Source organism: Homo sapiens, chromosome 5, assembly GCF_000001405.40.
Source record: "Homo sapiens chromosome 5, GRCh38.p14 Primary Assembly".
Classification (NCBI taxonomy): Eukaryota; Metazoa; Chordata; class Mammalia; order Primates; family Hominidae; genus Homo; species Homo sapiens.
This window is the reverse complement of record NC_000005.10, coordinates 108,859,249-108,873,961: the sequence shown is the minus strand read 5'-3', so window position 1 is coordinate 108,873,961 and position 14,713 is coordinate 108,859,249. Positions and strand designations below refer to the sequence as shown.

Here is a 14,713-nt window from a genome sequence, read left to right as displayed (position 1 = left end):
TGGAATGTCTCACTGCACAGGAATTGAGAAACTCTGCTATCCATTTTGCACCATACATTCAACTCCATTGTTTAAAGCAGAGTCTCTCAGCCTCAACACTACTGATATTTTCACCAGATAATTCTTTGTTTGGGAGGCTGTCCTGTGCACTGTAGGACGTTTAGCAGCATCTACGGCTAATGTCTTCAGATACTGTCAAATGTCCCCTGGAGTATAAAATCACCCAGGGCAAGGACTACTGGTTTAGAGATGGCTGACATTGTAAATATCAATGGTCAGAAACCTAGTCAAGTGAGACCCCTGTATAGGGCATGAAAAACTTAGGAACAGCTTCAAAAATCCCAATAAGGCTGCTAGGAAAAACTCTGTAATGCAGTGTACTCTCATGCCTCCATTGCTCTCACCAGTAGTCAGTATGCCATAATTACTAAGCCTTCATCTTGTACACATGATTTGCGGACAAATATTTGTTAGTTTCTTCAATCCTATCTAGCCAGCTTTAAAGATTCCAAAACCTGGCTGGGCACAGTGGCTCACGCCTGTAATCCCAGCACTCTGGCAGGCCGAGGTGGGTGAATCACTTGAAGTCAGGAATTTGAGATCAGCCTGGCCAGCAGGGCAAAACCCCATCTCTACAAAAAAAACACAAAAATTAGCCAGGCATGGTGGCACATGCCTGTAATCCAGCTACTCAGGAGGCTGAGGCATGAGAATCATTTGAACTGCGAGGCAGAGGTTGCAGTGAGCCGAGATCGCACCACTGCACTCCAGCCTGGGCCACAAAGTGAGACCTCATCTCAAAATTAAAATGAAATAAAATTAAAAAAACAAAAAAAAAGATTCCAAACCTCTTTCCAAGAGCCAGTCTGCATTTCCTACCTTAGCTAATTACCCGTACCACCACCATGTTACTGAACAATAGAAAGAAGATTGTTTAATTATATTAGGTGGGGACATTTGGCTGAGTCATTTGAGGTAAATTTCCAACAGGTGATATGATATAACATGTCTAACATTGAGGAGCAATGAGTGCATAATCATTTATAGCTGTGGTTCTGGCATAAAGAAAAAATACATGCAATGTTTGTTAATAAATATATTTCCTTGTGTTGCTCCCACACAAAATCAAGAGATAGGTTAAATATTTAGAAGTAGAGCACCTTATGTTTTCTAAATTCAAAAATATACTACTAATTGCTTTTAATGTTTGAAAAGAACTAAAAACACATTGTGATTTCTCAAAATTCCTTTAATATTTTACACAACAAAAACAACAAAGTGAAGAAGGAACTGATTTAACAGCCTATAACAGAAGACATCCCTGCTTCAAGAGAAAATAATTCAATTAAAAGTCAATTTTTTGTACTAAGTGCTCTGACATCAATAAGTCTCTTATCTCTAACAGTAAACAACCTAATTTCCAAAATGGTTCTTCCAATAAATTGTGAGGATGAAATGAGATTTTAATATATATATAAATTTTGAAAAGCATAAAGCATTATTCCAATGTCAAATACTAGCAACAATTGGGCAAATGAATGTAACATCACACAGAACTTTGATATTCGGAATTACCAAAAGTAGTGACGAAAATGAGTAAAATTAACATATTTCTCAAAACATGTCACTCTGACCCCAAAAATTTACTGTTCAATACTTGTAAAAATAATTGATATTTTAAATCTGAGTACAACAATAAAGCAATAATAATACTAGTATTTAAACTGTTGATATTTTGTGAATACTTACATTACTTGCAAACTTTCTGCTGTTAAGTTATTCCACATGATCTCATTTGCCTGAAGATTTTCATTTTCTTCCAGTAAGGAAGTATCAAACTCTATTTCTTGTTCTTTAGCAGCCGTTGTTCTAGTAAAGCATGGCAAATAATTTTGATCATTGTAAATACAGTATCATAATATATCTTCATATACACTAAAGGCAGAATATTTGTTTTTATCCAAAATTATGTTAACAAAGAAAACACAAATAGTATAAATCAAACTAAATCCTGGGTTTCAAAATTGTGTAACTTGAGACTTAGATTCCTTATCTGTAGAATTCAGGCATTAACCTGCTTTATTCCTGTCACAATTGTATTAAGTATAAAATAAGATGCCATGGAAAAGTATTTGGCGCATCATAAAGTGTAATATACATATAAAGTCATGGTTTTATTATATAAGCATAAAAAAAAAATTTCATGGATTAAATATGGATTTAAGCATGGATTAAATATGGATTAACAACTAACAAATTTTTACATATCAAAAACTATACATTATATAGTTATCATCATTGACAAAGAACTTTTAAAATTAAAAGCAGATAAATTAATATGAAATATTCTATGTCTTAATAAGATCTTAAGTATTTCTTATTTTTATCTGTGGTTAACTATTGTATGAATGAAAAATAATACTGTCATAAATCCTTAAAGAGGAATAAACATGTCATACCTGTGAACATCTATGAAATTATTGTATTCTGTACTAGGATCTATCTGTTCAACCGACATTTGAATCTCTTTATGGACATTCACTATTTCCTCTGTGACAAGACTGGTTATCTGGCTGTATTCATCAAATATACCTTTGCTGAAAACAAAAATAAAATTTTGCAGCATTTTAAAGTTTTATCAAGAGAGATACTATCTCAAAAAGGATTCAGAACAATAAGCATAAGAAATGTAATGTTGAAATGTACAGATGGTTGTTTCCTGTACCACCTTATTTCATACCTGGAGAGTAAAGAAGAGGGATTATATAAATGTACAGATTAGCAATTTATATTTGTTATAATACAATAATTACAAATGATATAGAATATGGCATTACCTTTTCAAAAATGTATTTGATATGTCCAAAATGCAGGGCCAGAGTTGATAACTTTCTATGTCTAAATATTCTCGTATAAATTTTGGGTTGAATAACATGGAACTCTGATCAACTCCTGACTCTTTAATGTTCCTTTCCAGTGTCTGTTACTTCCTCACATGCTCTACCTGACTGGTTCTTCCCTGCTCCTCTGGGCCTCTGCTCTTTTTTGTATACTTAGTTGAACTGGTTCTATACCTTGAATGACATCTAAATTTCTTCTCTTGACCTCCAATCAGTAGCAAAAATGTCATCAAAATTATTAGCCTGGTCTAATAAATGCAAAAGGGAAAAAACTATTCTGTCGCAGAGACCAGCTTCCTACTTAAAAATGCTATACTGTAAAAATATGCCATAGGTCACTGTCAACAGCAAGTGTAGACAGACAAGGTTATCCTGCATATGCTGAAATAAATACAAAGCATGGTTTTTCTTTTCCACCATCATTACTTATAAAAAACTAATATGTACAAAAGCTCCCTTATTGTGAAGTATTCTCTCAATTACTTTATTTTAAATAGGAAAATATCATTTGGGTAAAAAAACTGAGATTTAAATTGTTTCAGGCAATGCTAGTTTCAAATAATTAGAGAAATCAACTGGCAGACACAATTTAAAGAAAAGGGGAGGCAGAAAAATTTAATACAGATTTAGTCAGTATCTCTGGGATTATAATCTCATAAGTAAAAGTACTGAATGTTGCTAATGTAAATGAGCCTATCTAAATAACTCTTTTAAAGCAATACAGTAAATAGGTGTAATGTGGAGATCATTAACATTTACCTTTAATACAAATGGGGAGGAAAAATGAAAAACATCTCCTAATATTATATGAATGGGTATTTGTTCCATGAGATTCATCTGTGGTGATATAATCATGCTTGGATTTTTAAAATTCTAAATCTAAAATAATGTATTACACAAAGTACAGATAACATACCATGAGAAACCATTATATGTCTCAAAAAAATATTCCAGTGATGATGAAGATACTATTATTGAAAATCATGTGAACAGTTTAAATATGTCTATTAATAAATGAAAGTAGGAAAGGAAATATTTCTAAATCAATAGTACTTTAGAGATAAGTAAATCTATGAATCAAATATTTAACTAGACATTTCACTATTTTATCAACACTAAAAAGTTTACATATTCAAATTAACTAAAAACACTTTATCTTCTTATGTGAATATGGAGGATCACCTAAAATTTAGTCTTACCTACACACAAGTATATACTATCAAATTATCTTTATTTTCACATAAAGAGAAGTAAAAGTCAGTCAAGCAGAGTCTGGAAGGCAGCAAAGACAAATTTGCGCTTCTAATTTCAGAGGCTGTGGAAGTCAATAGCCCAAGAAATATTATCCCTAATCTGAAATATTTGTATGTAAAACAGAATAATATAACACAATGATAGCTAGTTATACTAAATCTGTCATGGCACGGGGGAGCCCTTCAAAGAAAACGATGTCAATCTCTGCCTCTGTCTTCACAAGGCCTTCTCTGTGTCTCTCTCTGTCCTTCCTCCCGTCTTCTTATAAAGACTCCAGCCATTGGATTTAGGGCCTACTCTAAATCCAGAATGATTTCAACTTGAGATCCTTGACTAATTACATCTGCAAAGACCCTATTTCCAAATAAGTTCACATTCTGAGATTCTGGGTACACAAGAATTTTGAGGGTACATTCTTCAAATCACTACATTCCTCTCACGGAGAGTGCAGGGTTAGTCAGAAGACTCAAGCTTCAAGTTCCAGATGTGCCACCTCTTAGCTTTGTGAATCTGGGTCCATTCTCACTTGTCTGTCATAGATATACCCTGGATATAACCTGTACTTCCTAACTCTACAGGATACTGTAAGGAACAAGTAAGCAAATGCACATGAAAGTGCTTTGCAAACTGCAATGTAGTCTATAAATGAAATGTTTTGTTTTAGAAATTATCATTTTACCTTTAACAGTTACTTTGGCATTTATTAACCCATTTATGACTAGTGTTCCATTATTGGAACACTAAACTTATGGGAGTTATTCATATCCTACTGCTCAAGGTTATCGCTAAGGTCTGATTTTATGCACAAAAAAAAATGTTCACACAAAAAAATTTGCAACCTCTGGCTTAAATGGGTTAATTGATGTAATATTCAGGCTTCCTCTTGCACCATAACCTGAAAAATGCTCATAATAATTTTTCATATCAATTTACCACTACATTTCAAAATATGCTAAACCTAAGAGCTTATGTGCTAATTTATGTAATTACAGATAAATTAAGTACAATGCAAGAACCTGCATTAAACTGGTCCAAGTTCCTTTTCTCATACTTCACTACTTTTTTTGAATTTTAACTCCACCTGAGAGATAACCATTTACTTCTTTTCTAATGCTCTTCCATTACTACACCATTCTTCAACCCTACTCATAGTTCACAGCAACTCTAACATTGAAGAATTCCCCGACACAATTTTCAGTGAAAGAAAATTGAATTTAGTCATTTGGAAGGCACTAAAACAACTAAGCAAGGAAATAGGGTCTACCAAAGGATGACTTATTTTTTCTGTCATTTTGTATCAGTGTGTGTGATAAACATGTGTCCATTTGACTCACTAATTAAAGTATACTGTTAGATCAAGAAGGCAAGAATTGTGCCCTGCTCATCTCTATATCCCTAAGCATCAGATAATGTGCTTTGCATACGTAAAACTTCAATAAACATTTGTTGATTTTAATCTTATACAGAAAAAAAAACAAGAAGCTGACAAATAAACTTTCAAAAAATCTCTTCCTTGAGCCTCTTCAGTTGTTCAAGATTTAAATACCCAACTCTCTGGAGGCAGATATTCACTTCCTAACACTTTTCAACTTATAATTTTTTCATTTAAATTTCCAGCTAAGGAAACAAAACAAAAACATACAAAAGAAGGACCATTTTGGAAGCTAGCTAGAAGGTTTAGGGGATAAGCACAAACTGAAGGGACATGAAAAGTGAAAATCAAGAAGAATCAAGGTCTGAAATACCCCCTGGACTGGGTTAATAATAAAACTTATGAAGCAACACCTAAACTAGAGAGAAAATATGTTGAAATCATTTTGTGAAGGGATTTTATGATAAAAAGAAAATGTATCTTACAGTGCTTTTATCATTTCTTCTTGCATCTTTTGTAAGGAGTCCAGAAGCAGGGGAAGTGTGATATCATAATACTGATTCTGATGGAGCTGTGCCCCTTTCAACGCCAATACATACTGATTGTGCAACATATGAAGTTTCATTGTGGCTTTGTCGTATCGTTCCTTGGCCTTTTCAGTTTCCTTCCCTGAAAAAAAAAAAAACTGAAGAAAGTTAGTAAAGAGATAAGAAAAAAAATTGTATCTTCACTACATACAAACTGAATTACTACTGTTTTATGTTATTTCACGCATTTTTTAAACAAAAAAATTTTATTGAACACATAATATGTGCTTAGCTTTATGCAAGGTACTGTTAGATTTGCAAATCCTTAACACAAAGGTTGCCAAGGAGGCATGTAGGATACTAAATGGTGAATAAAGGTCAAAGTAAAACACAAAAAAGTACAGATATATGATCCTTTTCATCTTCAAGAAGCTTATACCAAATTGAAACAGCAGTGCACATAAAACTGTAAAACCAAGAAACCAAGAAAGTTTGTAAATAATGTTAAATTTTGAGGTCTATGTTTGAGATATCAACAAAGACAAGGGTAGTCAGAGGAGGCTTTGTGGAGAAGACAAACCTTAAAATATGGGACATATCTGGGGAAGCATAAAAAAGATAAGAACAGATAGTTCCTTCCTCTCACCTTCCTTTTTTCCCTTCATTCCTTCCTTCCTTTCATTCAATGAATATTATTAGCTGAACGCTACTAGGAACTGTGCTAAACATTGGGAATTCAGTATTTGGCAAAACAGTCCTTGAAATAGAGCCTTGTGAACTGCAATATTGAGTGAATACATGGAAAGAACAAAGTTACATAGAGATAAGCTTGTCTACAGACAGCAAGTTTTGAGAAAGTTGAAGAAATAGGTCTCCTTAGGTAGTGCAGTTCTAGGTGCTGAATGACTTGAAAATCAAGCAGAGAAATTTAGACTTCATGTGGAAGAAGTCTGAGAGATACTGATAATGTTATGAGTTAAAAACATTTTATGGTTCCTTTACTAGTCATTTAGAAAACATTTACAGATTGCCAATATAAGCAAATGAAGATATAAAGAAATGAAAATTTTAAGCAGATCTTAAACTTTTGATGCAAATTACACAAATATTTCTTGTCATTGTAGACTCAGAAAATAAACTGTTCAAGATATTTACTACTTTCTGCCCTTTCCAAAGAAGTCCTCCAAATAAATCCTCTCCCCAGAAACAGATCTTTTTTTTTAATGTAAATAAATTTTATTTGCATTCTTTTGTAACTTGTATTTCATTGCATTGAGATTCATTGGTGTCAAGGCATCAGTTTCTAGCTGATTCTTTTTTTTTTTAATACTTTAAGTTTTAGGGTACATGTGCACAACATGCAGGTTTGTTACATATGTATACATGTGCCACGTTGGTGTGTGGCACCCATTAACTTGTCATTTAACATTAGGTATATCTCCTAAGGCTATCACTCCCCCTTCCCCCCATCCCACAACAGTCCTTGGTGTGTAATGTTCCCCTTCCTGTGTCCATGTGTTCTCACTGTTCAATACCCACCTATGGGTGAGAACACGCGGTGTTTAGTTTTTTGTCCTTGTGACAGTCTGCTGAGAATGATGGTTTCCAGCTTCATCCATGTCCCTACAAAGGACATGAACTCATCCTTTTTTATGGCTGCATAGTATTCCATGGTGTATATGTGCCATATTTTCTTAATCCAGTCTATCACTGTTGGACATTGGGTTGGTTCCAAGTCTTTGCTATTGTGAATAGTACCGCAATAAACATACATGTGCATGTGTCTTTATAGCAGCATGATTTATAATATTTTTGGTATATACTCAGTAATGGGATGGCTGGGTCAAATGGTACTTCTAGTTCCAGATCCCTGAAGAATCACCACACTGACTTCCACAATGGTTGAACTTGTTTACAGTCCCACCAACAGTGTAAAAGTGTTCCTATTTCTCCACATCCTCTCCAGCACCTGTTGTTTCCTGACTTCTTAATGATTGCCATTCTAACTGGTGTGAGATGGTATCTCATTGTGGTTTTGATTTGCATTTCTCTGATGGCCAGTGATGGTGAGCATTTTTTCATGTGTCTTTTGGCTGCATAAATGTCTTCTTTTGAGAAGTGTCTGTTCATATCCTTCGCCCACTTTTTGATGGGGTTGTTTGTTTTTTTCTTGTAAACTTGTTTGAGTTCATTGTAGATTCTGGATATTAGCCCTTTGTCAGATGAGTAGATTGCAAAAATTTTCTCCCATTCTGTAGGCTGCCTGTTCAATCTGATGGTAGGTTTCTTTTGCTGTGCAGAAGCTCTTTAGTTTAATTAGATCCTGTTTGTCAATTTTGGCTTTTGTTGCCATTGCTTTTGGTGTTTTAGACATGAAGTCCTTACCCATGCCTATGTCCTGAATGGTATTGCCAAGGTTTTCTTCTGGGGTTTTTATGGTTTTAGGTCTAACATTTAAGTCTTTACTCCATCCTGAATTAATTTTTGTATAAGGTGTAACTCACTATTCCTATTCAACATAGTGTTGGAAGTTCTGGCCAGGGCAATCAGGCAGGAGAAGGAAATAGAGGGTATTCAATTAGGAAAAGAGGAAGTCAAATTGTCCCTGTTTGCAGATGACATGATTGTTTATTTAGAAAACCCCATCATCTCAGCCCAAAATCTCCTTAAGCTGATAGGCAACTTCAGCAAAGTCTCAGGATACAAAATCAATGTGCAAAAATCACAAGCATTCTTATACACCAATAACAGACAGAGAGCCAAATCATGAGTGAACTCCCATTCACAATTGCTTCAAAGAGAATAAAATACTTAGGAATCCAACTTACAAGGGACGTGAAGGACCTCTTCAAGGAGAACAACAAACCACTGCTCAATGAAATAAAAGAGGATACAAACAAATGGAAGAACATTCCATGCTCATGGGTAGGAAGAATCAATATCGTGAAAATGGCCATACTGCCCAAGGTAATTTATAGATTCAATGCCATCCCCATCAAGCTACCAATGACTTTCTTCAAAGAATTGGAAAAAACTACTTTAAAGTTCATATGGAACCAAAAAAGAGCCCACATTGCCAAGTCAACCCTAAGCCAAAAGAACAAAGCTGGAGGCATCATGCTACCTGACTTCAAACTATACTACAAGGCTACTGTAACCAAAACAGCATGGTACTGGTACCAAAACAGAGATATAGACCAATGGAACAGAACAGAGCCCTTAGAAATAATGCCGCATATCTACAACCATCTGATCTTTGACAACCCTGACAAAAACAAGCACTGGGGAAAGGATTCCCTATTTAATAAATGGTGCTGGGAAAACTGGCTAGCCATATGTAGAAAGCTGAAACAGAAACAGATCTTAAGTTGAGAATTTTTGACGGCAGGCTCCCTTCTGTTGCCATTCTGCTTAGGCTCAGCAACCATCTGAGTATTCCTCATTTAAGAATCTCAGTACCCCAGAGCAAAGAGCAGAGAAAAGGTGAGGGTTTTTGCAAAGAGGGACAATTTCAGACCTCAGACCATTCCTAGGAAGAACAACAGAATGAGAAATAGAATTCCCTTGCTTTCTCATCATCCCTCCAATTCTGATGCTCAGGAACTACATCCACATCGTATAAACAGAAACAAACCTTCTGGCAGACTTGTATGTCTCTACTATCAATAAATTCTAGAGTTCACAAATACTAGAATCACCACTGACTTCTATGGAGCAACACATAATTTTTTTAAAGAGTTTAATTCTGTACCCATTGTCCATTCACTGGCTCTTGCACATGAGGATATTAATAACTGTCCAAGTTTTTAACAAAATGTTACCCAGATAATCTATTTCACTTTATAACATAAAGAACTTCTTAATAAGAAAATAATCTTTTCACCTGAGTATCTCTAACCCCTGTCACTGCTGAAGAGAAACATGTTCTAAAACTAGAGTGGCAGGAGGGAAGCAAGTACATTAATTTAGTTCTCACCTGAAGAAAATCAGAAAGAAAGAAAAAAACTTGAATCACTAAAGTAATACTTTTCAAACTTTTTGACTACCACCCACAAGATAATATATTTTATGTCATGAACCAGTAAATAATCAAATATGTGTTTATATAAATGTAATATAAAATGATTATTCTCCTTACTATGAGGTATGCCCAGTGATTTTTTCAAAAATTCTAATCTATTTGAATTTTTTTAATGTTTATCAGAAATCAGTAAATTTTTTGCCTCAGTTAAAATAAATCCCTAGAGAAGATTTATCTCACTCTGCATGACACTTGGCACAATTTTTTAACTTAGCAATTAATAAAATAACTTCAGTAATACTAACCATGAATGATTTTTAATGTTCTAAGGAACATATCCTCCCACATGATCAGTTACTAATAATTTTTCATAGAATAATACAATAGCATTTTTATCCATGAATATTACTACTTAGCATTCTTCTTACAGAATATATTTCATTAAAAGTCCCCAAAAGTCAATGCAATTGCCTGGGTGCAGCAGCTCACGTGTAATCCCAACACTTTCAGAGGCCGAGGCGGGCGGATTACTTGAGGTCAGGAGTTCGAGGCCAGCCTGGCCAACACAGTGAAACCCCATCTCTACTAAAATACAAAACAAGTAGCCAGGTGTGGTGGTGCATGCCTGTGGTCCCAGCCAATCGGGAGGCTGAGGCAGGAGAATCACTTTAACCCAGGAGGCGGAGGTTGCAGTGAACCAAGATCAAGCCTCTTCACTCCAGCCTGGGCAACAGAGCTAGACTCTGTCAAACAAACAAAAAAAAAGGTCAGTGCAACTGACATATCTATGGCCAGCCCACAGCCTTCCATCTAAAAGTGATCACCCCTTTTTGTCCCCACCCACACAAGTTAGGAGGAGGCTCCTACATGGAGCTGACATCCAAGATCTAAGGTACATACCTGACAATATAGGAACCAATATTTTGGCTAGAAGCTAAGTCATATTAATTCCTGAATAAGAGTAAAAGTTCACTAACTCCTGCTACAGAAGCTGCCTTTTCTGAGGCCCATTTCAAGGTTTTTGGTTTTTAGTCTGGTTTTTTTTTTTACTCACCATTTTTAAGCTAGTTTAAGTTTCTGTTAACTACTTGAAATTGAACAAATTAATTCTGACAACAGTTCAAAAGGTCAGGTACAATTAACCAGATAAGTTAATTCCAAGTAATAAAGACACTTTCCACAGTCCACATGTTCATAATAAGAAAACAAAACAGGCAGTTACCATGCAAGTGTATTTGAGTACTGTGTTCTAAGATGTTACTTTTTACTGTCAGTTCAAAAGGTATAATCAATTCACTGAATTCCATATTTTGCCTCTTATTTAAAAATTTTATTTTGTTATATTAACTATTATTCCTAATTAATTCCCTGAATTTTTTAGTCTAACTTCAGAAGACAATCTCTCTACACATTTTCATTGAGACATTTAAACCATTTAAACCACCCATCTGTCCTCTCATTTGCACAGATATTTAAACTGCACACTACCCATCTGTCTTTCTAGCTGGTGTAAAATGATTCACTAAACATACAACACTCAACTCAGTAAGATTTTATGCTCCAAGATAACATTAGAGAAGTTAAGAATTTCCCAGATACCTTTTTCTTTATTAAATATAGTATATGACAAACAGCCTGAAGTCATTAGAGCCAAAATTTAATCACCAACAGCTTACCAATGGTCATTAATAACAATTACAAAAATATTTACTGCCTTTGGAAATATCCAATGCAGAATCTATTGTATTAAAATAATAATAATAAATTCTCAAAACCACTTTCAGGTTTAAAACCAGATTTCAGGTTATGTTTTGACAGATTTTGGGGAGGAGTACTCCACAGCTCACATACACTTCTACATTTGGTTATAAGGCATACTTATGCATGCACATTATCAATCAATCTGTTATCTCCTTCCCTTGCAGGTAAAAACAAAGAGTTTTAAAAACATGCTCACTTACCATGATTTGGAAAGGGATTCTATGTTACTTTTTACTGATTTGTTTTAAAATAAATGTTTAGGGTGCTATACAGGATACATAAGTCAATTTCAGAAATGTTAATACCATATAAAAACCAATGTTACAAATAAAAATTTTAAAATTCCTTTTACTTAACAAAATTATTGCAAAAAATAACCTAATACAATTCTATTTACTTCGAAATATCTTAGATCACTAATATACTTTCTTAACTTTTAAATAAATGCATATGCTCTTAAAATTAACGTGAAGTACATAGAATGAAAAAATTCTTATTTTTCATTCAACAGACACAGTATCCTATCTTTGTTTTGTGTGCTTTTTTTCTTTTTTCTTTAAATGATGACAGGCATTGGAGCAGGGCATGAGTGTTCTACATGTCAATCAACAAGGAGGAAAACATCCAATTTTTCCTCCTCCACATAATAAAATTCACAAAGAGATTAAATTATAATTTGTTTGCCACAACTTGTTGACAAATCTATTTAATGTTTTGTAATAACAGAATGCATAAACAACATATCATGCCATCAACAATATTATGAAGCTAGCAAAACTCAATTATGTAAGTTTGACATTTACAAGAGAAAGGCTAGACTACTCATTAAGCTAGTCTAAAAAGTCACTTTTTTTATTATAAACTTCTGAAGTGTTTGCCATTTGCGAATTATGGTAGAAACCTGCTGATAATAAATAAGAAGTGATTATTTTCTAAAAATAAAGTGCCTACAAGTAGACTCTGCTTTGATTTGGATAACTAAACATTCCACCACCTTACAATTTTCCTTTCTTTCAGAACATTCCTTGTTAATATGGTTTGGCTCTATGTCCCCACCCAAATCTCATCTGGAATTATAATCCCTATAATTCCCATGTATCAAGGGAAGGACCAGGTGGAAGGTGGTTAAATCATGAAGGGGTATTTTTACCCCCATGCTGTTCTTGTGATAGTGAGTTCTCAGAAGATCTGGTGGTTTTACAAGGCAGTTTTCCCTACTCTTGCTCAGTCTCTCTCACCTGCCACCATGAAGTCATGCCTCTTCCTCTTCCACCATGATTGTAAGTTTCCTGAGGCCTCCCCAGCAATGTGGAACTGTGAGCCAATTAAACCTCTTTTCTTTATAAATTACCCAGTAATTATATGTCTTTATAGCAGTGTGAAAACAGACTAATACGCTGCTCAATTTCACAATTTTACTTATTACTCTACACTCGCTATCCTAGGCACACTGAGTATGAAGAAAATGAACAGGAATTCATCTTAACTTATAGTTACTTGGGTCAAATGTATACACATGTTTTTTTCACATGGAAGTTAAATTCAAGTGTGATATGTAGAAACAATGAAGGAGCTACCTTTTTTACTCAGTGTGGTTCTGACAAGAACAATGTTAAAAAGTCAGTACTAGTCTCAGCTTTTCCTTTGATTAGATGTGCAGCCCCAAGCAAAACATTTAATCTAAATTTTAGTTTCTGATTTTTAAACATAGGAATTAAATTATCTGCCCTTTCTAATTCACTGGGTTGTAATGTAGATTAAATGGCAGAAAACTGACAAAATGCAGTTAATAGCAAAGGCTAAATAAAGCACAGAATTTGGAAAGACAAAAAGAAAATGTTTGTGTTTATATGCTCCTATAAAGCATTAAAAACAAAAATAGGTATGGCCAGGCACAGTGGCTCACATCTGTAATCCCAGCACTTTGGGGGACTGAGGTGGAAGGATCATGAGGTCAGGAGTTTGAGACCAGCCTGGCCAATATGGTGAAACCCTGTCTCTCTTAAAAAATACAAAAATTAGCTGGGCGTGGTGGTGCACACCTGTAGTCCCAGCTACTTGGGAGGCTGAGGCAGGACAATCACTGGAACCCGGGAGGTGGAGGTTGCAGTGAGCCGAGATCGCACAACTGCACTCCAGCCTGGGCGACAGAGAGAGACTCCATCTCAAAATAATAATAATAATAATAATAATAATAATAATAATAGGTATATACATATCTTGCTACTTTTAATAAATTTCCTGGCATAAGAAAATTTGATTTATCAAGAAACATTTACTAAACATTTTATGGGTTTTGAACTGTTCAGAGAACTGAAATAGTGATACTTTATTTAAAAATTCAATATAAAACACCTTTAAAGAGCAAGTTCTCAAACTCTGTGTAATATAATTTCCTTGCATATAGTGATTGCTACATTCAATTGATCCACAGTCTTCTAACAACCTGTAAAGTGAATGATGTACCATGTCCAAATCTACATTCCATAATTTCCTAATACTGTGAATGAGGGAGTTCTGGGTAGCTGGGATATGGCAGCAGCATAATTCTGAATCTCCCACATATTACCCAAAAATATAATAAAGAACAAAATGAAAAACATAACTCATACCCTCAGCATAACAGGCACAGAAAGTCCAAATTTTAAATTGGCTATGAGTAGAAAAGTAAACACCAAATCTCTACAAATGATCTCTCCCCCTCCCAAAGCAAGCCTTTACGAAGACCAAATGCTGTTGGGTGGGTTGGTTGGAGGTGGGTGTTGGGGGGTGAGGCAGGGGTCGGGGTGAAGAGAAGAAACAGCAGAATGCTTAAGACTGATCTAAAAACAACCATCAGAAAAAGAAGGTCTGCTCTACTTGTGAAAATACTGAAAAA

General features: G+C 34.7%; 1 protein-coding gene across 21 annotated transcripts in view, besides 1 other annotated feature; it reads right to left on the bottom strand.

Moving 5' to 3' along the window:
* FER (FER tyrosine kinase) overlaps window positions 1–14,713 on the bottom strand; it is a 448,945-nt gene that overhangs the window by 322,880 nt on the left and 111,352 nt on the right. For 20 of the 21 annotated variants that reach the window (NR_146155.2, XR_007058589.1, XR_007058591.1 and 17 more), the window contains 3 exons: window positions 6,012–6,195; window positions 2,460–2,597; window positions 1,750–1,869 (listed from right to left, as the gene is read on the bottom strand). Coding sequence is in view for 17 of the 21 variants with exons in the window: in NM_005246.4 (NP_005237.2) it covers window positions 1,750–1,869; window positions 2,460–2,597; window positions 6,012–6,195 (442 nt within the window). In the remaining 4 variants the exon portion in view is untranslated. Of the gene's footprint in view, window positions 1–1,749; window positions 1,870–2,459; window positions 2,598–6,011; window positions 6,196–7,592; window positions 13,976–14,713 lie in introns of those variants that run through there. The other variant, XM_047416941.1, reaches the window with a different exon arrangement.
* Window positions 6,787–6,987: a silencer, noted in NCBI's record as "peak5407 fragment used in MPRA reporter construct". NCBI's record gives its function as "represses an SCP1 promoter by STARR-seq MPRAs in K562 erythroleukemia cells {active_cell/tissue: K562}" and the evidence as "EXISTENCE:reporter gene assay evidence [ECO:0000049][PMID:32103011]".